This window comes from Homo sapiens, chromosome 17, assembly GCF_000001405.40.
Source record: "Homo sapiens chromosome 17, GRCh38.p14 Primary Assembly".
NCBI lineage: Eukaryota > Metazoa > Chordata > Mammalia > Primates > Hominidae > Homo > Homo sapiens.
Window position 1 is genome coordinate 42,506,522 of NC_000017.11, and position 21,870 is coordinate 42,528,391.

Genomic DNA, 21,870 nt, shown 5'->3' on the forward strand with positions numbered 1-21,870 from the left:
CATGCTGCTGCCCGAAGGCCAGGTTGCAGGAGAGCTGCCCTTGAGCTCTTGCCTTGTTTGGCCCCCTGGACAGAAACCATATGAAGTGATTCTGGGGGCTGCTGTTTAAATTCCTTTTCACGCTGTGGCAGGTTAGCACTAATTGGGATCTGTGAGACTTAACTCATTTCTGCCTGGTTTTTTTTCCCAAAGAGTCTTTTTTGCTTTGGGTTTGGAAAAACTCAAGTTTTTTCAAATCAAGTTGACTTTAAAATCTACTTTTGGAGACCCTACAAAAGACTGTGTTTGTGAACTCAGAAGAAGCAAATGCCCCATCAGCGTCTGCCCACGTGCCTGTGGAAGAATTGTTCTAACATTCCAGAGCTGTCTGCTGAAGAAAAGGAGCCCCTACTCATCTTTTTAAGCTCAGCATTCTCTAGCCACAAGTGAATGTACATTAAGCATTTTTTTCCTTCTCTGACCTTGGAAGCTTTTTGTTCCTGGGCAGAGACATGGTACATTTCTGGAAGAAGTTGCTGGAATTCTTGGGCTCCTGTTAAAAGCTTATCAGACTAGGGTACAATCACAATGTCACTTGGCCCCCCTTCCTCTTAGAAAGTCTAATCGTTAGGGCCAGAAAAGCTTAGGCCCTTGCAGCCTTTACAGATAGAGCTGTACTTGTTGTGAGAATCTGTTCATATTAAGGTTTTCATTCAAGCAGGATTCTCAATTAGTGTTGACCCAGGTGAGGCTGGTGCCTCTTGGCACAGCAGACAGAACTGCATATTTCCTCTGAAGCAGGGTAAGGTGGTAATTGTAGGTTGGGCTGGGGCTGGGGAGGCGGTGGTTGGGGTGGAACAGTTGTTTGATTTTACTTAGCCGTTCAGTCAGTGGGTTTTGTTTTTGTTGTTAGACATATGCTTTTCTGAGGTTTGTGTTACTAACCATCGCCCTTCCCACCTCACAGAATGTCATGTTAAAGCCCAGGCAAATTCTACTCTTTCTGTTCATCTGTGTAGGGAACTCTCAACTTTGGTGGGATCAGGGTGGGCAACGGACCGACAGAGGAGGATGCTGAGATTATTCAGCATGACCAGCTCTCCACCCACTCAGAGGACGCAGACGAGGTAAGATCCCGTGGTGTGGGCTTTCTCTCCTTCCACCTCGGGTCAGCCCTAGTCTTGTGTACCTAAGAGGCCTCACTCCAGTCTTCTCCTTGAAAAATAAAAATACTAATTAATATTCAGCCTGCCTTCTGGACCTCTTAGGGCACCACAGCTTTTTCCAGTGGGCCCTGCCCTAAGCTCCAGCTGTTGCCCCCAGAGCCCGCAGCAGTTTTGCTCCTATCTTGAATTCCAGATTTTGCCCGCAGTGCTCTGCACGCAGGTCTCCATTACTGACTGCTCTCTCACCTGAGGCAGAGCAGGCCTCAGCATCCCAGCTCTTATGACCTGAAACACAGGTCACTAAGCACAGCTTCTTCATCCATTGACCCTTCCAAGGATCGTTCCAATTACATTACTGACCAGCTATAATCACTGGTACTTTTGAAGTCCTACACCACTGATGTGTTCTTGCTGCAGATATTTTGTTTGAGCTTTTTTGGTGTCATTTGCCTACTTTTTACAGGGAGAGAGAGAATTAGGCCAAACTAGACTTTTCCTTAAGATACCACCTCCAAGCCCACTCTCCTTGCCTGACCCCTTGTAGCACAAAGCCTCTGAACTGAACTATTAAATCTCATCTACTCATTATGTTCTTTTTAAAGCAAATAAAATAGGAGTTGAGGACTCAAGTTGGACTTTTCAGTCTGTCTGACCACTTTCACTATATATGATTTTTTAAAAAAGAAATCACAAGGGTTGTGGATGCCTTTAAAAAATATGTATCTTAATGCTCTAAATTCCTGCTGATTTCGCTTTGTGTATATGCTGAGGAGGCCTGCCTCCAACGTGCTAGCCCATTTAACATGAACAGTCCTCCCCAAGAAGCATTCAGTAGCCTTGTGCTCCTAACTTGTGACCTTGTGTGTGGCGTGGCTCCCCACTAAGTGTAAATTTGTGTTTTCAAGCCTTCCGAGGACGAAGTGGTAAGATGAAAGCTGGCGTTGCCTTCGTGTTTATCCGGGCTTCTCTCTTCCCATCCTTGTGATCACTCTGCTGACCCTGCCACACCCTGGGGCCATACACATGACTCCTGTGCCTCTGCATCTCACTGGCCATTTCAAACCAGTTCGTGAGCCTGTGTTCTAAAAAGCTCATCTCCATTAACTGCATCTCATGTCGGTCACCTCTGTCTTTGTTTCATTGACTTTGCTGATTTAACACCTCTGAGAATGGCTTTGAAAGGAGCTACAAGTAATGTCTTCACTGGCATTCTTGAAGTGACTCCTCTTGGGGGTTAAGTCCCATTGGCCTCTGCCTTCCTCTCCTGTGATGTTGTGGTTGATCTACTCCCAGCCACCGGGAGTAGCCGTTTCCTCCCTGCTCCTCCTAGTGCTTGTGAGCAAACCTTACCCTTCCTCCCTGTCTGAGCCAGCCTCTTCCTGCTGCCCTCCTCAGCTTGATGATGCTTCAACTTAGAAGTGGTGGACCCTTCTCGGGGTCAGCTCTACCTCCATGTGACCCAGGTGAGAGGGAGACAGCTTTCAAAAGGAGGCTTTGCCTTCCAGATGCATCCCAAAGGAAATAATCCATCTGTGTGAAAGGAGTTCATATTATATCAGCCACATAGAGAATAACGGAGACTGGAAAGCAAATTGGCTAACTGTTCAGGCCACATCTCGAGTAGAAGGCCCTCTGGCTCAGCAGTAATTCACTTAGCAACATACACTCTTTAAACTGGGTTTTTAAAACACCTTGCTGCACTGTTTGCATCTTCCCCCAGCACTTCTCTCTAAAATGCCTAGACCCACAAACCATACCCTTCCCTTCCTGACTCTCGGTCCTCTCTAGGAGGGCAGTGGGATGGGAATGGGAAAGCCTTTGCTGTTCTGTGTAAACACAGGTAGGGCCTGCTCTTCCTGAAGCCTAGAGAGGCTCCTTTGCTGGCATCAAAGAGTGTCTGTGTTCCTGGACTGCTCATCTATGCAGTCCCTGGCTGAGCTACCTGGCAGGGATGGGTGGGGCGTGCTCCATGTTAATGAGGAGCCCAACCCTTTCCCTGGCTCACTACCTCCAACAACACTGCCTTTTAAATGTTTTCCTAGCCGAGCACCCACATTGTCAGAATGGTCTGACCAACTATTGTGTACCAGCGTTCTCGTTTGTAGCCATGTCCCAGGAGGTTGGACATCCAACAAGATAGACTCTAATTCAGCCTCCCCAGTCTCTGGCCACCCAGCTCACTCAGGGATTCAGCTACCCTTGGCTACCCAAGTAGTCTAAACATTTTATCTTTATCAGGCACATATACAGTCTGGTTCTCTGTAGCCAAATTTAGATACCCATGACATTTATCTAATGATTTCAAACCAAACAGGTTCCTAAAAAAACATTCAGCCTACTTCTAGAACTTCCCCATTTTGCTTGGCTGTGAAAATGTATTTGTCCCATGCAGGCCCTTGCTCCAGCCCAGTGGAAGCATTAGTACCTCTTCCTAGCGGGAACTCAGTCCAGCTACACACCAGAGCCAGGCCAGTGGTTGTCTGGGAAATCTTCAAAGGCCGTGACCACTCAGCAAGGGTCAGTGGCACCTCTCCCCACTGTCTCCTCACCAGGTGCATTCATCCCATCCATCCATGCATTCACTCACCCTCCGTGTTGTCCAGCACTATGTATAGTGCTGCAGAAACAAGAAGAATATAGTGCTTGCCTTCAAAGACCTCCCAAAGTGGGGAGATAGTCTGGATGACAGGTGCTGTAATAGAAGTGTGCCCCGGATGCTATAGGAGCACAGAAAGAGGGCAACTGATGAACACTGGGGTGAGAGTGGAAGAGGAGACCCTGGAAGACTCCCTAAGGAAGTTGTCTTACTCTGGTCAAGCAGGAGGCCCTGTAGAGGGAGTGGTGCAGACCCACCAGCATATGCAGCTTCACAGGGGCAAAACACCTGTAGGTCCATCACGTGTTGGGGACTAGCAAGTATTCAGCTTGGCTGGAGCAGAGGCAGGAGTGGGGAACTGGGGACAGGTGAGACTAGAGGTTGGCAGAAACCAGCCATAGTAGTTTTTGCCTCATTTGGACAACAAGGAGCCATCCAAGAGAGAGCGGTGAAGCTGATGGTGACACAGCCATGGCGCATTGAAATACCCCCAGTGGCTGTGTTGTAGGGTATATTGGGTTGGGGAGGGACAAGGTCAGGAGGCATAGACTCGACATCATCTGATGTGATTCAGGACAGAATGGCGAGCCTGAAGTGAAGTGTCTGTAGGATAAGTTGGAAAGGAAGGAACCAATATGAGATATTAAAGAAGTGAAAGCTATAGGTCCCAGTGCCTTAATAAAGGTAAGGAGTAAGAGAAGATTCGAGATTGACTCCCAGACTCTCCAGTCTGCTGGACATGGGAGATGGAATAGAAGTTGATCTCGGTGTGGTCAGAGGAGAGCAGTTACTGTGTTGAGCATGGAGAGCCTGTCGTTCCCCAGGAGAAGGAGTACAGCTGGCTGGAAATAGGCAAGGCAGAGATGGAGAGATCCACCTTGGAGTCACTCCTAGGGGCGACCCTTGAAGCCCTGAGTAGCAATCCCACCAGAAAGATGCAAGGGCTGAAGCTGAAACTTCAGAGAGCATCGGCATTTAAGGAAGAACCTTGGCTGGGCGTGGTGGCTCACGCCTGTAATCCCAGCACTTTGGGAGGCTGAGGCGGGCGGATTGCTTGAGCCCAGGAGTTTGAGACCAGCTGGCCAACGTGGTGAAACCCCGTCTCTACTAAAAATACATAAATTAGCTGGGCGGTAGTGGCATGTGCCTGTAATCCCAGCTACTCGGGAGGCTGAGAGAGGAGAATCACTTGATTCTCCTGGGAGGCAGAGGTTGTGGTGAGCTGAGATCGTGCCACTGCACTCCTGTCTTGAAAAAAGAAAAAAAAAAGGAAGAACCTCGATGGAGACTAAAAAGAACTGTCCAGAGAGGTAGGAGGAAAACCAAGGGATGGCAGGTATTTCAAAAAGGAGGAAGAGGCTATGGTGACAGACACTGCAGGAGCATGGACAAGGGCACAGAACATCTGTTAGCTTTAACAGCTGGGCCAGGCGCGGGGGCTCACGCCTGTAATCCCCAGCACTTTGGGAGGCCAAGGTGGGTGGATCACCTGAAGTCAGGAGTTTGAGACCAGCCTGGCCAACATGGTGAAATCCCATCTTTACTAAAAAATTAGCCGGGTGTGGTGGTGCGTGCCTGTAATCCCAGCTACTGAGGAGGCTGAGGCAGGAGAATTGCTTGAACCCGGGAGGCAGAGGTTGCAGTGAGCTGAGATCGCACCACTGCACTCTAGCCTGGGTGACAAGTGAAACTCCGTCTCAAAAAAAAAAGTAACAACTGGGAGGTTAGGGTGACCTTACTAAGTAGAGGCATTTTGTGGAGGAGTGAAGGTGGAAGCCAGGGTGCAGTAGGGTGAGGACTGGCTGGGCAGAGAGGAAACTGAGGCAGAAGATGTGGACAGGGACTCTGCAGCGATTCATGGTTGGTCATGGCCGATTGATACGGGCGTGTGCTGAGTGGCAGACTCATAAGTGCTGAGCTGGATTTCTCACCCAGTCCTTGCTTCTCCTGAGAACACCTGCAGGAAGCTGGGAATGAAGGAGAGAAGGCAAGGGTAAGGCCTGGAAGCGAGGCTTCTCTCCTGTCCTGCAGTTTATTCGGTGGGAGAAACTTGAGGTAGAATAAAAACACTGAAGGGATTGGCTGTAAGGGAGCCCAGTGGTCACTGCCCTCCCAGCCCATAGGAGTAGAGATCAGCACTCCTGGGAGCCATGGACTTCTTCCTCTCAATGCGGGCCCTGGGGCGGCAGCCAGCAGTGGTAGGAAAGAGCTCTTAACCACGGTGTTGGGATTTAGGGAACTCAGGGAACTAGGATTACCCTAGTTTTCAGGGTAAGTAAGGAAGCTTGAAGAGCCTGTTCCGGAAGAAAAGCCCAGAAATAGGCTAGGTGTCGACAGAGGTGAGGGAGAAGCAGACGTTCGCCCAGAGATGGCATGGTGGAGCCAGCCCCCTCCACGCTGGCTGCACCCCTGTGGCCTGGGCTGTTGTGGCTTTACCAGCCAAGCCACTTTCTCCCATCCCCATGTTCTCAGTGATTTCCCAAGGCATTTCTGGTGTCCTTTGGGAGTGGAATCACGTGGGTTTTGAAAGGAACTGCGGTGAAAAATAGACCCTGACCTGAGGGCAGGGGCCGATGGGGAGGCCACTGAGCCCTCAGGAGTGTCTGAAAGCTCAGAAGATTCTGGTCTGGGCTCTGCGGGGGGAAGCCCCATAAGGGAGCGCCTCCTGGTCTTTGGTCAGCTTGACAGAGAGGCCCAGGGAAAGTACCTGGGGCTTCCAGAATATACCAAATTCAGAAGCCCACATTCACCCCTGACTGTGCTTGGAGCAAACCTGAAAGTTCACTCCCAAGAGCTTGTTCCAGCCCATTCCTTTATTCTGGAAATAATTCTTGGTATTGAAAGGAAAACTGGGACAAAGGGAGCTTGAGGAAAACGAAAACAAACAAGAAACTGGAGATATGCTATTTAGTCTTAACCCAAACAGATATGCTGTTTGGCCTTAACCCATGTGGAAATTTGTAAACTTTGTCAGGATTTCCCTGTGCATGGTGGTGAAATCATGTAGGGAAAAAAAAATTCACCGTGTAATCTCTTTAGAAGTCACAAAAGAAAAAGAAGGTTATCTTGCTCCCAAAAGGCTGTAAAAAGAATAAGTAAAGTGGCCATAGAGGCCTAGTCTTCTCAGGACAGTGTCCGGGTTGAGAGTCTGTCTCCTGAAGCGCACTCTGGGGAAAATCCCTTCCTGCCCTCCTGCAGGTCCTTAGGGTCCCAGACCCAGACAGTCACTTTCTCAACAGAGTGCCGTCAACTCAGCACACACTCCTCTCTTGAGCACAGAGCCCCAGAGGGAGAAGAACAAATGTGTTGAAAAGAATCTTATTAAGATGTAGTTAATTAAAATGTAATGTATTGAGGGGAATGGAGGTGTCCCAGGTGAGGGCTAAGTCAGGCAGGATTTTTGGGGAAGGCATTGCCGAAATCACCACCTGAGCTCAACACTGGGTGCTTCTGGCCCCTCCAGAGTTGAGGTGCCATCCATGGGAAGTGCAGTCCCCTGCCCTGGCCCAGGTTCAAAGCGCCAAGTAGCCACAACTCAGAATGCCTGCACGTTCCCCTCCTAGCCTTATATCTTCTCTCTGGTTTCCTCCCACGACAGTTTGACTTTGGGGACACCATGGTCCACCAGGCCATCCACACCATCGAGTACTGCCTGGGCTGCATCTCCAACACTGCCTCCTACTTGCGGCTCTGGGCCCTCAGCCTCGCTCATGCGCGTGAGTACCTCTCTCCGGGCTCCGGAACTCTAGTTTCCCCCTCTGTGGGCGCACTGTCAGTTGGGGGGCTTAAGTCAAATGGAAATTACATGAAGGTTCTGGAATTATTCAGGTTCCTGAACCCAAGGAGAATGAGTACAGACAGGAGGCTCAGCACTTGTGCCAGGTTAGCTCTGCATGGTGGTCCCACTAAGGCAGTGGGAAGCCAGGATCCAGGGAACCCTAGAGCAGGGGGATGGCAGAGCAAAATTCATGGCCTACAGCTGCCTCTTGCCAAACTGCACTGGATTTTGTGTCTCCCATTCCCCAGAGCTGTCTGAGGTGCTTTGGACCATGGTGATCCACATCGGCCTGAGCGTGAAGAGCTTGGCGGGAGGTTTGGTGCTGTTCTTCTTCTTCACTGCCTTTGCCACCCTGACCGTGGCCATCCTCCTGATCATGGAGGGCCTCTCGGCCTTTCTCCACGCACTGCGCTTACACTGGTGAGGGGCAGTGGGGCAGGGCGGGCATGGGGGTGGATGTGTCCTTAGCTGCGGTGAGAGGGCAGCTTTTCTCCCACACACAGCCCTGCAGCTCTGTGCAGGAAAGATGAGCTGGCCCTGCACTAGCTTCACCTCAGGACACCCCAGCACCGGCATTGCCACAGAGTTTCGGAAAATGGTCACAGAAAAGCACAGCTCAGCCTTCCCTAGGCTCTAGGGAGATGTCCCTGGTGAGTGGTGTCAGGTCCCGCTCCCTGCCTTTAGCTGTCCCCAGTGCTCCTGATTTTGGCTTAAAGGGGCTGCTGGGGTCTTAGGGTTTCTGGTTTTCTCTCTGATGTGTAACTCTTCTGTCTTCAGAACAGTGGAAGCAGCTCTGGAATGTATGTTAAGTGCAGGAAAGGCTAGAACACGCTGCACCCCAGCTTTATCCTCTTTGTTCTGTCATTGTGCCAGGGGTCTTTGAGTTGGACCCCTGGCAGCTCCATTGTGGACCGGAGGGATTCCTGGCTCTATAGGGTGGAGGTCGGTACACTCACGCAGCTTCTTCACATGGGCAGGTTTGGGGTGGTTCTGTTTGTTTTCTTTAATGAAGCTTGTGACTCTTAATGGCTGTGTGTGGAGAGAGCATGAGTTCAGCCTCTGGGACTGGGAGAGCGGGGGTGTGGTCTGGGCTGTGACCACCTCAAACCAGCGTTGCCAGATGTAGCACATAAAAGTACAGTTTGGCTGGGCACGGTGGCTCATGCCTGTAATCCTAGCACTTTGGGAGGCTAAGGCAGGTGAATCACCTGAGGTCAGGAATTCGAGACCAGCCTGGCCAACATGGTAAAACCCCGTCTCTACTAAATATACAAAAATTAGCCAGGTGTGGTGGCACGTGCCTGTAATCCCAGCTACTCAGGAGGCTGAGGCAGGAAAGAATCTCTTAAACCCAGGAGGCAGGGGTTGCAGTGAGCTGAGATTGTGCCACTGCACTCCAGCCTGGGCAACAGAGCGAGACTCTGTCTCAAAAAAAAAAAAAAAAAAATAGGGGAGGGGTTGGGGGCCAGGCACGGTGGTTCACTCCTGTAATCCCAGCACTTTGGGAGGCCGAGGCGGGTGGATCACCTGAGGTGGGGAGTTCGAGACCAGCCTGACCAACATGGAGAAACGCTGTCTCTACTAAAAATACAAAAACATTAGCCGGGCATGGTGGTGCATGCCTGGAATCTCAGCTACTTGGGAGGCTGAGGCAGGAGAATCGCTTGAACCCAGGAAGTGGAGGTTGCATTGAGCCAAGATCGCGCCATTGTACTCCAGCCTGGGCAACAAGAGTGAAACTCGGTCTCAAAAAATAAAAATACAGGGTGTATTTCACATAAACAACAAATAATTTTTTTAGTATGAGTATTTCCCAAATGTGCATGGGATATGCTTATACTAAAAACTGGGGCAGTCTGTATTTTCTGTGGCTGTTCCACCTCAGACTCCACTTCTTTGGGTCTCTATTTTCTCCTTTATGTTGTGATTCTCTTTTTGGGGGTCTCAAAACCCCAATGTCTCTGGAAGTTCTGGCCCCTCTCCCCAGAGGAGCACTCACACACTTCTCCTGTTTTACAAGCATAGGGGTCTGACTCACTGGTGTGCCTTAGAGGCCCCTGGATGGGATGCTCTGTGGTGTTCATGATCTCAAGGCCAGAAGAGGACTATGAATGTCTCTCTTCGTTCTCAAAACCTGAAGAAAATCCAGCATCTGAACCTGAGAAACTCATTCCCCACTCCCCTTTATCTTTGATTATTCTCATGGCTGGGTGACCCCTGAGCCTCCTCAAAGATTCAGCTGTGGGTTTTTCTGAATGATGGGCGGAGAGTGAGGCATGGAAGGGCAAGACGTGGCTAGGGTGCACTCTTCTTCAAAAGCCCTGCTGCGTCAGTAGACCTGGCTTCCTCTGGCCTGGCTCTCTCCCTCCTGGCCTCCCTCCTCCCCACCCAGCTCATCTGGCTGGCCTCCCTGTTCTAAGCTTATCAGCCGACCCCCGCAAGCACACTTCCTCAGCCCTCCTCAGTGCACGAGAACCTCTGAGGACTCACTTTTTCTTGCCCCTTGGCCTCCTTTCTTTTCTTTTCACTCCTGTCTCTTGAGCCCTGGGTTTGAGGGAACAGTGACCACCTCACCTTGATTCCAGCCCACGTGGGTAGCCGGTCATCTCCCTGGGCAGGGCGGGAGCAAGGCACTGTTGCAGAGCAAGGCCGCCTGGGCTTGAGCCTCATTTTGTTGCCAGAAGATTGCTTCCTCCTCAGGCTCACCTGTGGCCTCCCCGTGTCTTCCCAGGTCCCCCTGAACTGAAGTGATGAGTGGCAGGACAGCAGGCTCCGGAATTGGGCGACCTGGGTTGGAATTCCAGCACTGTCACACCAGGCAGGGAACCTGAGCAGAACATTCACTGCCAAGATTACTGTGAGCAAGTAGGAAGTAATGCACACACCAAGTGCTGCCACAGCAAAAGCAGGTGCTCTAGGATGGGTAGTGGCTGCTCTGCTTAAAAGTGGGATGCCCTTACTGGGTGCGATGGCTCACACCTATAATCCCAGCATTCTGGGAGGCTGAGGCAGGCAGATCACCTGAGGTCAGGAGTTCGAGACCAGCCTGGACAACATGGTGAAACCCCATCTCTACTAAAAATGCAAACATTAGCTGGGCGTGATGGTGGGCGCCTGTAATCCCAGCTACTCGGGAGGCTGAGGCAAGAGAATCGCTTGAACCCAGGAGATGGAGGTTGCAGTGAGCCAAGATCGCGCCACTGCACTGCAACCTGGGCGACAGACCGAGACTCCGTCTCAAAACAACAACAACAACAACAACAACAAAAAAACCTGGGATGCCCTAGAGAGAGGGTGTCTGCCTGGGGTCCCCCATAAAAAGACTGCTTTTAGCCTGTCTAGAGTGAGAGAAGACCCCAGAGGAGGCAGAGGATACCATCAGAATGCCCTCAGGTGCTGTTTGCAAGGAACAGCCTCCCCATATATGTCGTATTTATTTTGGCAATAGGAGTATTGGGTAGGAGAGGAAAAAACAGTGCAAACCTCCTTTGTGCAACTTCCAGAATCTCGTCTTTGGAGGGCTGTTCCCGTGACACGAGTGGGGCGCCTCCCCCACCACTAAAACAGAAGTGAATGAAATTGGTGCTTGTGCGCCCCCTCCTGGCAAAATGCGGCTGTGCGTCCAGGATGCCTGGATCTTCCCTGTGGCCCAGGACTGCAGGAGGCGTTCTGAGCTGTGGCCCTCTTACCAGGGGTGGAGCCTCTGGGGCTGCTGAACCAGCTGTAGGGATGGTGCTGCTGTTCTTCCTGGCATCCATCCTAGGCATCTTCATACCTCCCACTTTATCCCTGCTGTTTCCTGATTCAAGGGCTGCCCCATTATACAAGTTCTGGTCTCCTCAGTGGGGACAATAAGAAAAACATTTGATTCGATAACATATAAACCACTAGTGTGAGATTCATGCAGCATCATAGGAAGGGGGGTGATGTGTTTGAAAACAGTGAGCAGGCTAATGTATTAATCTGCTAATTCTGTCTCCTGAGTTTTCTCTCTTTTCCTCCCTCCTGCCACATGAAGTGTGCTTGGCTTCTTACCTACCATAATTAGACATCTTTTCTTCCTCAGAGAAGGCATGAGACAGGGATTTGATTGTAGTTATCACTGTAAACATCAAACTGATTTTTATGCAGAACTATTGCCCCAGGGCATACCTTCCAAGGAACCTGGTCTCTCCTTACCTAGCGAATTCCACATACACATAGATGTACACCTACCTGTACACTCACAGATTGGGTGGTGATTAAAGGGACAGAATCGGGGACCAGCTTCTTGTTAGGAATGCAGTGTTGCCACGGCATGACAGCATGGAGCAGTTGAGGGAATGGCTGCCCAGGAGAACTCAGAACTCTTGAAATGTAGTTCCAGGCTGCCATCATTGCCCTGATATTCAGGCCGTCAGACAGATGTGTGTTGTAGGCCCTGAACGGCACAGAGAGTGGCAGAACAGGCTACATAAACAGCTCAGCCCAGAATTGTCTTTCCAGACTGCCTGCCCTCAGTCACAACCCCCACCAGGGAAGGGAAGCGGCCCCAAGACTCCTTCCTCCTTCACCCACTCGAGGAAACAGAGTTCCTGTTACGTGGCATGAATGATGTCTTTTGGCCCCAGTTAATCCCTCTGAGTCACCAGGTGGCCTTTGCCAAGTGCTGGAGCTGGAAGAGATGATAGAGACACTCATCTGGCGTCCTGAGGCTCTCCTCACAGCTGTTGAATTCTAGAGGTGCATTTCAGTGTCTTGGGGCATGGCAAGACTTTGGAGGCTCCCTGAGCAGAGCAGTGGAGATGCCCAAAAAGAAGGAAGAACCTAGGATGGCAGATGGGGCCCCCCTTGCCCTGGGGAACTTCATGTTTGTACTTTCTCAGGAAGCACACATTTCCCCAGTTCAGCGGGAGAGAGTGGGGAGACTAGCAGGGAAATTGCTTTCCAGCTTTGTGCTGGGTGGTTGGGGTGAGGGTGGCCACGGAAGGAGGTGAAATCAGGCTGACCTCAAGATAGACCCAAGATGTCCCAGTTCTGGCCGCTCTAAGTCTCTAAAGCAGCAGCTGGTGGGAGGGGCAGTATTGGGCAGTATGTCAGGGAGGCCACCTGTCTGCTCACACAGTACAATTGATGTGCCCCTCCCAGGCATATATCCCTCTTCCTCCTTGCTGGGCCCCCATGGGTAGATAAGGTGACTGGAGGGGTGCCAAGAAAAGGGCGGTGCCCCCACAGGCATCTGAAAACAAAGCTGCTGCTCCATTTGCCCAGTTTGAAGATTAGAATGGTTTTGTGATTAGCCAGGAGGGGGTGGGGGTCAGAGTTCTGGACACCTCACTGGAGTCGGGGGTCAGCATACCCTACCAAGGCTGACATTCACTCCTAGGTAATGGCCTGGGACCCTCAGGTGACTTGTCCACTCTCTGGCTATGTATTGTTGAATGAAAAGGGGACATGTAAATCTCGTTTCAGCTGTTCTGAAATAACCCTTGCCACATGGGAACACAGTCTATTCAACATGAAGAATTCAAACCTAACACAAGTGGGTGAGAAGCAGGAACCCACTGCTAGGCCCCACCGCGTTCCCTCAGAGGTGGTCTCAGTAGCTGGAACTTGGAGAAGTAGTTTTGGTGGGGTGTTGGGACGTGGGTGAATCCAGGTCCTGGTTTGGAATTGCTCTGGTGGGAACCGTCAGCTAACGTCAGTTGGAAGCTCTGTGTCCTCCCCCTCCTGAGTCCTGTTTTTCCTGGAGGACCTTGGCCCACCCCTGTGGAATGTGGGGATGTGGGGAAGAAAGCTGACTGCTTTTACTCCCACTCAGAAAATTCGGTTGCGCTCTTCTTCAAGGGGGTGCTCCTCAGCCTGCACCCCAGTGAAGGGGCCTCTGAGGAACTCCCAGTGCCACTGGCAAACAGTCTGTAACCTTTGGGCCCCAGCCACCTCCCAGCCCCTGTTCTCTTAATTCCTGCCTTCTTGGCTTGGAGGGAGGAATCTCCATTTGTAAAAGCTGAGTTAGGGAACTAGAGGGTTCCTGAAGCTTTAAAGCGCCTCAAAGCCCTCACCCTGCACGTGACCTGTCACCTGGAGCCTGCCCCAGCCCCCACGCCTGCCTGTTCTTATAGGGGCTCCGGTGCCTCCAGGGTCACACAGCACCATGTGGAAACTATTCCTCAGGGCAGCTCTCCTTGGCCTTTTTATCCCCTGAATCATGCATTTTTCTGCCCTTATTTGGTGTGGTTTGGTTGCTGGGCAGCTGTCCAGGGTGAGTTTGCAGGAGGAAGCACAGCCAAGCAGCCTCGCTCTGCTTATGGGACAGTCTTCCTCCCACCCTCCCTGAGAGTGAAAGGGCCCCACAGAGACCATCAGGCATGGATGCTGAACTGCTGGGAAGGGAGCTCAGGCTTTTTCTTTTTAGTCCCCAAGAGAAGAATTCTTTCTCAGATGTTTTTGTGGTTGGAGAATATTTTTGCCATTGCTTTGAGAAGACTTCCCCTCCTAACTCCCCCTCTTTCCTTGGAATTTCCTTCCTTAAATGGAAAGCCTTCAACATTCACTCCAAGCTCGCCCTTTTGCTCCCCCAAGGAAAAATAACAAGCAAACAGAGGTGCTTGCCCAGTGTCTCTGGAGGGGCTTCCCTTAGAGGTGGGCTGTGTGATCCCCTGCCAGGAGGGGGCGATGGGGGCCACTTGTTCATTAACGATGTTAGGCTCAAGGTAACTGAACTTTTTTTGCACATGCCTCTCTGCAGAGAGTTGTGCATAAACACACTGCTCGGCAGGACAGAGCAAGATTGGGAACTGAGGGCAAATCCCTTCCTCCGTGCGTCGAACTCTTGATCCCAGGCCTTAAAAGTGGGATCTCTGCACTCTGGGCTTTCTCTAGCTTCCCCAGGGAAGGGAGGCTCGGGGTGAGGTGGGCACGGGGCATCTTTCCTGCCCAACTGTGAAGTCCTAAAAAGCTTCACAAAGTTTCTATTGAATGACAGCTTTCTTCTTCTCTTTCTCCAGGGTTGAGTTCCAGAATAAATTCTACAGCGGGACCGGTTTCAAGTTCTTACCCTTCTCCTTCGAGCATATTCGGGAAGGGAAGTTTGAAGAGTGAGTCCCTGTGAGGGCCGTGTGCCCCATGCTACCCTCCCCGCCTCCCTCCACAGTGATCAGCTGTGCCTCTCTGCCTGTTGGTTGTGATCTGTGGGCACCAGCTCATTCGTGTCACCCTGTCTGTGAGTCATTTAGATAGAATAGTCCTCCTTGGGTCTCCCACCACCCCTAGCTTTGTGTGTAGTGTAGTGATTTTCTGGCTGTCACTCATACTCACTGGGCACCAGCCTTGCCCTCTTAGCCTCCATCCATCCAGACAGCCCTTCCCACCTCCTGGTGGTGAGCCAGTCTGCATTCCCACGCCATCCCAAAGCCCTTTCATCTTCCCCGTGCATTGTAGATGGAAGGAGCACCCATGCCATTCACATCTAGACTTTGAGTTCCCTGCATCTGCCACCGTAGTTTCTAGCAGGAGTAGTGGGGGGAGTAATACAGATTCTTCCCTAGAAGGGGACACTGGTAACATGTCCCACTCTTGGATTAGCAGGGGTGGGTCCAGGAAGATGATATTTGCGTCTTTTGCCCACCCCCCTGGCATTCAGCTGGACCCAACTAGGCCATCATGAGTGGCTTCTCCCTGTCATCCCCAGGGGTCATAGGATATCTACACCGCCTTTCTGACCCCACCCTGCACTCCCATCCTTTCCTCTCTCCCCGTTCATGCCCTGCACTACATAGCACAGCCGGGATGCTTGGAACAGAGGCCTTGGCTGCTCCGCAGTGCACAGGGCTTCCCTCTCTCGGGGTTGGCTTCTTCCCAGGCCTTGCATGGGCCCTGCCCACAAGCACACCCTCAGGCCGAGGGTGCAGACTGATGCTCTTCCCTGATGGAGACCCTGAGATCTTCCCCACCCCCAATCATGATGTCTTCAGTGTGGGACTGGGGTCCTCTTGGTTCTGCCTGCAGCCTGCCTGGCTCCGCCCCTAGTGCCCCCTCCTCACCACACTGGCCCCAGGTCTCAGGAGGGGTGTCCTGGGCAGGGAAGGTCAGTGTCACTGATGGTTTGCTGTTTGGAAGCCATTGGCAGGGCTGCCGTGCATGTGGCTGTGAGGGCTGCACAGTCCTGCCAAGGGGCTTCCTCCTTGTCACCCCGAACCTTGTAATCGTGTGCTGGCGTGGCAGCCCTGGCTAAGTTAATCCCCACCGCTTTCAGTGGTAGAAAGAATTCCCTGAGTGGGCCAGGCTGGTGCCCTCCTCCTACCCTGGCTTTTCTGAGTGAGCTGCCTGGAGCCCTCATCCCCTCTCCCAGGCTGGGCTGGCCCTGGGCGGGGCCACTGTGTGCTGGCCCACTGTGACCTGACCCGACCTTGTGCAGCCCCCCTGCCCTGGTGTCCTGGGTTTTCGTGATGATCTTTGCTCTGTTTCCAGTGGGGTTTGAAGCAGAGTTCAGGGAACCCTGCCCAAGGTCCTCCTGTTCAGACATTCCTATGTTGAATAAAGTATGTTTGACTTCCCCGGAGAAGCTGCCTGTCACTGTGCCCACAGCCCCTGCGTCGCTCCAGGCTCAGCCATCTTGAGCCCCTGTGGACCCCTGACCTTCGCCTCCCTCCTCCAGCATTGCTGCTTTTCCTTCTATCAAAGGCCACAGCTTCAGTAGGCCTGGCTGGGCAGTTGGTTTGGGAAATTCTCACCTTGTCCCAAGTTTCCCAGGCGCCTTCCCACTCACAGGATCCAAGTCAGCTCTGCAGACACTACCTGTGGGAAGAGGGGACTGGGCAGCCCATCTTCGTCTCCCGTTTACTCATTGCACATCCAGACAGCATGGGGGCAGAGGGGCACTGGGTATCTCCCCACGCGCCTCTCCCTCTTCTCCAAGTGTGCCCTCCAGGGCCCAGTGGCCTGGCTATGTTGAGCCCTGATACCCCGGCCTTAGTGTAAGTGGAGGCTCCACACAGGTTCCTCAGGGCAGCTGGGGAATGTGAGGTGCTGGGATTGGCAGGCGGCAGGGTGGAGAGCAGGCAGACCGTCCAGGGTGGCAGGCTGGGCAGGAGGCCCCCTCCCCACTGCCTAGTGAGGCACTGCATTCTCGGTACCCTCCCTCTTCACTCCTCCCTCCAGGGGCCTCCAGGGCAGGGGCTGCCCAGGAATGTGACCTGGGCCCCAGACAGGTGAAGGGGCCACAACCCCCTGTTCATTCCATGTTCCAGCCTAACCTAAAGCCCTTCCTCCTCCCTAACAGTGCTACCTGTCCCTGGTGTCGGCCCTGAGAGGCCCACCCCACCCAGCTCCTCAAAGATAAGGTCCCGAGTGGAAACTCTGGTCATTGAGGTCTCAGCTTCTGCTCAGTGGGAAGGGAAGGCCTCATAAGAATAGATATTTGGAATCATTGGATTCGAATTGAGAGTCCAGGAATAAATCCTAACATTTATGGTCACTTGATTTTTGATAAAGGGGTCAAGATAATTCAATGAGGAAAGATCTCTCTTTTTCAACAAATGACACTGGTACAATGGGGTTTCCACATGCAAAGAAACAAATTTGGGCCACTATCCCCACCATATGCAAAAATTACCTCAAAGTGGATTCCAGACCTAAAATGTAAGTGAAAACGATAAAACTCTTAGGGGAAACCATAGGAGTACATCTTCCTAACCTTGAGTTAGCCAGTGATTTCTAGATATGACACTCAAAGCACAAGTGATAAAAAATAAAAAAAAACACATAGATAAGTTAGCCTTCAGCAAAATTAAAAGCTTTTGTGCTTCGCCGGGCACGGTGGCTCACACCTGTAATCCCAGCACTTTGGGAGGCCGAGGCAGGCGGATCACCTGAGGTCAGGAGTTCAAGACCAGCCTGGCCAACATGGAGAAACCCCGTCTCTACTAAAAATACAAACAATTAGCTGAGTGTGGTGGCGCATGCCTGTAATCCCAGCAACTTGGGAGGCTGAGGCAGGAGAATCGCTTGAACCCGGGAGGCAGAGGTTGCAGTGAACCGAGGTCGTGCCACTGTACTCCAGCCTGGGCGACGAGTGAAACTCCATCTCAAAAGAAAAAAAAAGGGTTTGTGCTTCAAAGATCAGAATCTAGAAACTGAAAAGACAACCCTCATAGAAGAAAATATTTGTAGATCATATATCTGATAAAGGACTTGTATCTAGGATATATAAGTAACTCTTACACCCAATAATAAAAACAACTCAGTTTTTTTAAATGGGCAAAGGGGTTGAATAGGCATTTCTCCAAGTAAGCAATATGAATGGCCAATAAACCCATGAAAAGATGCTCAACACCATTAGTCATTACAGAAATGCAAATGAAAACCACAATGAGATACCACATCACACCCACTAAAAAGGCAATAAGAAAATTACAAGTGTTGGGCCGGGCGCGGTGGCTCATGCCTGTAATCCTAGCACTTTGGGAGGCCGAGGCGGGTGGATCACGAGGTCAGGAGATCGAGACCATCCTGGCTAACACGGTGAAACCCCGTCTCTACCAAAAATACAAAAAATTAGCCGGCCATGGTGGCGGGTGCCTATAGTCCCAGCTACTCGGGAGGCTGAGGCAGGAGAATGGCGTGAACCTGGGAGGCGGAGCTTGCAGTGAGCCGAGATTGCGCCACTGCACTCCAGCCTGGGCAACAGAGCAAGACTCCATCTCAAAAAAAATGAGAAAATTACAAGTGTTGGCAAGGAGAAATTGGAACCCAATTCACTGCTGGTGGGAATGTAAAATGGTGCAGCTGCTTTGGAAAGCAGTCTGGCAGTTCCTCAACATATTAAACAGAATTGGCTGGGCACAGTGGCTCATGCCTGTAATCCGAGCACTTTGGGAAGCCGAGGTGGGTGGATCATGAGGTCAGGAGATCAAGGCCAGCCTGGCCAAGATGATGAAACTCCGTCTCTACTAAAAATACAAAAATTAGCCAGGCGCAGTGGCAGGTGCCTGTAATCCCAGCTACTCAGGAGGCTGAGGCGGGAGAATCTCTTGAACCCGGGCGGCAGAGGTTGCAGTGAGCTGAGATCGCACCACTGCACTCCAGCCTGGATGACAGAGTGAGACTCTGTCTCAAAAAAAAATATTAAACAGAATTAACGTAAGACCCAGCAATTCCACTTTCTTATCTACCCCAAGAAAAATGAAATCATACCCACAAAAACTTGCACAGAAATGTTCATGGAAGTATTATTCATAATAGCCCCAAAATGGAAACAGCCCGATGTCCACCAGCTGATAAATGGATCCATAAAAGGTGGGATGGGCATGATGAATATTATTCTACAATTAACAAGAATGAGGTACTGATGCATGCTACAACATGAATGGACCTCAAAAACCAGCCACAGAAGACCAACAATTTATGATTCCGTGTATCTGGAATGTCTAGAATAGACAAACCCATAGACACAGATTTGGTGGATACCAGGAGCTGGCTGCCAGATGGGGCTGGGGAGAGAGTTATGATGGGGAGTGACTCCCAAGGAGTATGGAGTTTCTTTTTGAATGATGAAAATGTAAAGTTAGGCTGCTGATGGCTGCACAATTATGTGAATATACTAAAACCCATTGAATTGTACACTTTACATTGGTAAATTTTTTTTTGAGATGGAGTCTTGCTCTGTTGCCCAGGCTGGAGTACAGTGGCACAATCTTGGCTCACTGCAACCTCTGCCTCCCAAGTTCAAAGGATTCTCCCACCTCAGCCTCCTGAGTAGCCAGGATTACAGGCACGCACCACCACACCTGGCTAATTTTTTTTTTTCCTGAGATGGAGTTTCACTCTTGTTGCCCAGGCTGGAGTGCAATGGCACGATCTTCACTCACTGCAACCTCTGCCTCCCGGGTTCAAGCGATTCTCCTGCCTCAGCCTCCTGAGTAGTTGGGATTATTGGCATGGGGCACCACACCCTAATTTTTGTATTTTTAGTAGAGACGGGGTTTGGCCATGTTGGCCAGGCTGGTCTCGAACTCCTGACCTCACGTGATCTGCCCGCCTTGGCCTTCCAAAGTGCTGGGATTACAGGCGTGGGCCACCGCGCCCAGCCTTACATTAGTAAATTTTATGGCATATAATCTGAATAAAGTGGGAGTGGCCTAGGACTTCCTTGGGAAGAAATTCCTCCCATGTCTCTCTGATGAACTGGGAGGAAGCAGGGCCAGTGAGTCCTTGGCTAGACTGAGTTCTCAGAATCTAGTGGCCTTGGGCTCCTTCCAGCTAAAGATGGGCTGACCAAGACTGAGCTGTGGAGTGTGCAGGAAGTCCCAGAGCCCTGTGGTAGGGGGTGGGGAACAGGATGGCTGCATCCACTTGTTCCTGGGGGTTTTTTTCTTTGTTTTTGTTTTGTTTTGCTTGGTTTTGTTTTGTTTGAGACGGAGTTTTGCTCTTGTTGCCCAGGCTGGAGTCCAACGGTGCGACCTTGGCTCACTGCAACCTCTGCCTTCCGGGGTTCAAGCGATTCTCTTGCCTCAGCCTCCCAAGTTGCTGGGACTACAGGCGCCTGCCACCACGCCTGGCTAATTTCTTGTATTTTTAGTAGAGATGAGATTTCGCCATGTTGGCCAGGCTGGTCTGTAACTCCTGACCTCAAGTGATCCACCCACCTTGGCCTCCCAAGTGCTGGGATTACAGGCGTGAGCCACTGTGCCTGGCCATTTGCTTCTGTTTTTTTTTTGTTGTTGTTTGTCTGTTTTTTGTTTTTTGTTTTTTTGAGACAGAGTCTCGCTCTGACACCCAGTCTGGAGTGCAGTGGCGCAATATCAGCTCACTGCAAGCTCCGCCTCCCGGGTTCACGCCATTCTCCTGCCTCAGCCTCCTGAGTAGCTGGGACTACAGGCGCCCGCCACCATGCCTGGCTAATTTTTTGTATTTTTAGTAGAGACGGGGTTTCACCGTGTTAGCCAGGATGGTCTCAATCTCCTGACCTCGTGATCCGCCCGCCTTGGCCTCCCAAAGTGCTGGGATTGCAGGCATGAGCCACCGCGCCCGGCTGCTCCTGTTTTTAAGAGATGTGCCTTTACCCTGATCCCCCTCTTGTGGAACCCCAGGACCCCAGACATCTGTCTGATGAGTCTGTGCCCTGGTCCAGGAAATGCCCCTCATCTTGAGGTCCTAGAACCAGTGTGGGAGAGGGTGGCCTTGGCATGCTTGGCCTGGGGAGTCCCAAGCTTTGTAGAGATAGGGGACAAGTCTATCACCACCTTCACTGGATGGGACTATACTTCTTTCTGCCCCAGGAACCTTGGGTAGAGGGGGCATTGGACCTCAAAGCCAGCTGGCAGCCTCAGCATTTCAGATCAAAGTGGCCTGCCTCTTCAACGTCTCAGCCTACCCAAGGCATGTCCTAGGTGTAGGCTGCTCTCTGGTGGCCAGATAGGGAAGGACTCATTCATCCTTTGGCAAGGTGGGCTGCGATCTGAGCTGGGCTGTGTGATAGGCAGGCAACTGGATTAGACGGGCAGAGACAAAGCAATCCTGGGGTATTCTGGAGCACATAAGCAGAGGGGTAGGCTAGCCAGGAGCAAAAGATGAGATGGGCTGGAGAGCACGCAGAGAGCCCAGCCAACTTGCTTCACACACACTACTGGAAAAGTAATGAGTTGTGTCACAACTCAGGCTGGGCGCAGTGGCTCATGCCTGCAATACTAGCACTTTGGGAGGCCAAGGCGGGTGGATCACCTGAGGTCAGGAGTTCAAGACCAGCCTGGCGAAACCCCGTCTCTACTAAAAATACAAAAATTAGCCAGGCAAAACCCCGTCTCTACTAAAAATACAAAAATTAGCCAGCCAATGCATGACAGTAGTCCCAGCTAGTCTGGAGGCTGAGACAGGAGATGGCACCACTGCACTCCAGCCATGGGGGACAGAGCCAGACTCCATCTCAAAAAAAAAAAAAAAAAGGCGATCAAACAGTACTAAAGGCCCTATTATCAAATAAATAAATAAATAAATAAATAAAGGCTTTCACTCACAGTGTGACTCTCCCCCTCCCTCCCACAACCACTGTTTACAGAGCCTTAAAAAAAAAGCAAACAAACAGATGATAATGTGTTATCTTGCTCTGTCACTCTGTGGCCTGGCCTGCAGTGCTGTGGTGCCATCTGGACTCACTGCAGCCTCGACCTCCCAGGCTCAAGCGATCCTCCCCTCTCAACCTCCCTAGTAGCCGAGACCACAGGTGCATGCCACCATGCCGGGCTAATCTTTGTATTTTTTGTAGAGAAGGGGTTTTGCCATGTTGCCTAGGCTGGTCTCGGACTCCTAGATTCAAGTGATCCGCCTGCCTCAACCTCCTAGGATCAGGGGCCACCGCAACGGGCTAGACTTTTTTT

The 21,870-nt window shown here is 51.3% G+C and overlaps 1 protein-coding gene and 1 non-coding gene across 39 annotated transcripts in view, besides 2 other annotated features; both read left to right on the top strand.

Annotated features, from left to right (window-relative positions):
• ATP6V0A1 (ATPase H+ transporting V0 subunit a1) overlaps positions 1–16,058 on the top strand; it is a 63,702-nt gene extending 47,644 nt beyond the window's left edge. For 13 of the 38 annotated variants that reach the window (NM_001378531.1, NM_001378534.1, NM_001378522.1 and 10 more), the window contains 5 exons: positions 999–1,106; positions 2,051–2,068; positions 7,340–7,457; positions 7,768–7,939; positions 14,506–16,058. In NM_001378531.1, the coding sequence (NP_001365460.1) occupies positions 999–1,106; positions 2,051–2,068; positions 7,340–7,457; positions 7,768–7,939; positions 14,506–14,599 (510 nt within the window). In that variant the 3' untranslated portion in view covers positions 14,600–16,058. Of the gene's footprint in view, positions 1–998; positions 1,107–2,050; positions 2,069–7,339; positions 7,458–7,767; positions 7,940–8,022; positions 8,170–10,250; positions 12,242–12,970; positions 14,103–14,505 lie in introns of those variants that run through there. The other 25 variants (NM_001378532.1, NM_001130020.3, NM_001378551.1 and 22 more) reach the window with 9 other exon arrangements.
• On the top strand, positions 7,667–7,786 carry MIR5010 (microRNA 5010). The gene has a single exon (NR_049808.1). It is a non-coding gene; the product is annotated as a microRNA 5010 (primary transcript).
• Positions 10,086–10,585: an enhancer, noted in NCBI's record as "H3K4me1 hESC enhancer chr17:40668625-40669124 (GRCh37/hg19 assembly coordinates)". NCBI's record gives its function as "activates a minimal SCP1, AML or CMV promoter by ChIP-STARR-seq in primed H9 embryonic stem cells {active_cell/tissue: H9 hESC(primed)}" and the evidence as "EXISTENCE:reporter gene assay evidence [ECO:0000049][PMID:30033119]".
• Positions 11,029–11,078: a silencer, noted in NCBI's record as "silent region_8531". NCBI's record gives its function as "represses an Ori minimal core promoter by ATAC-STARR-seq in GM12878 lymphoblastoid cells {active_cell/tissue: GM12878}" and the evidence as "EXISTENCE:reporter gene assay evidence [ECO:0000049][PMID:35858748]".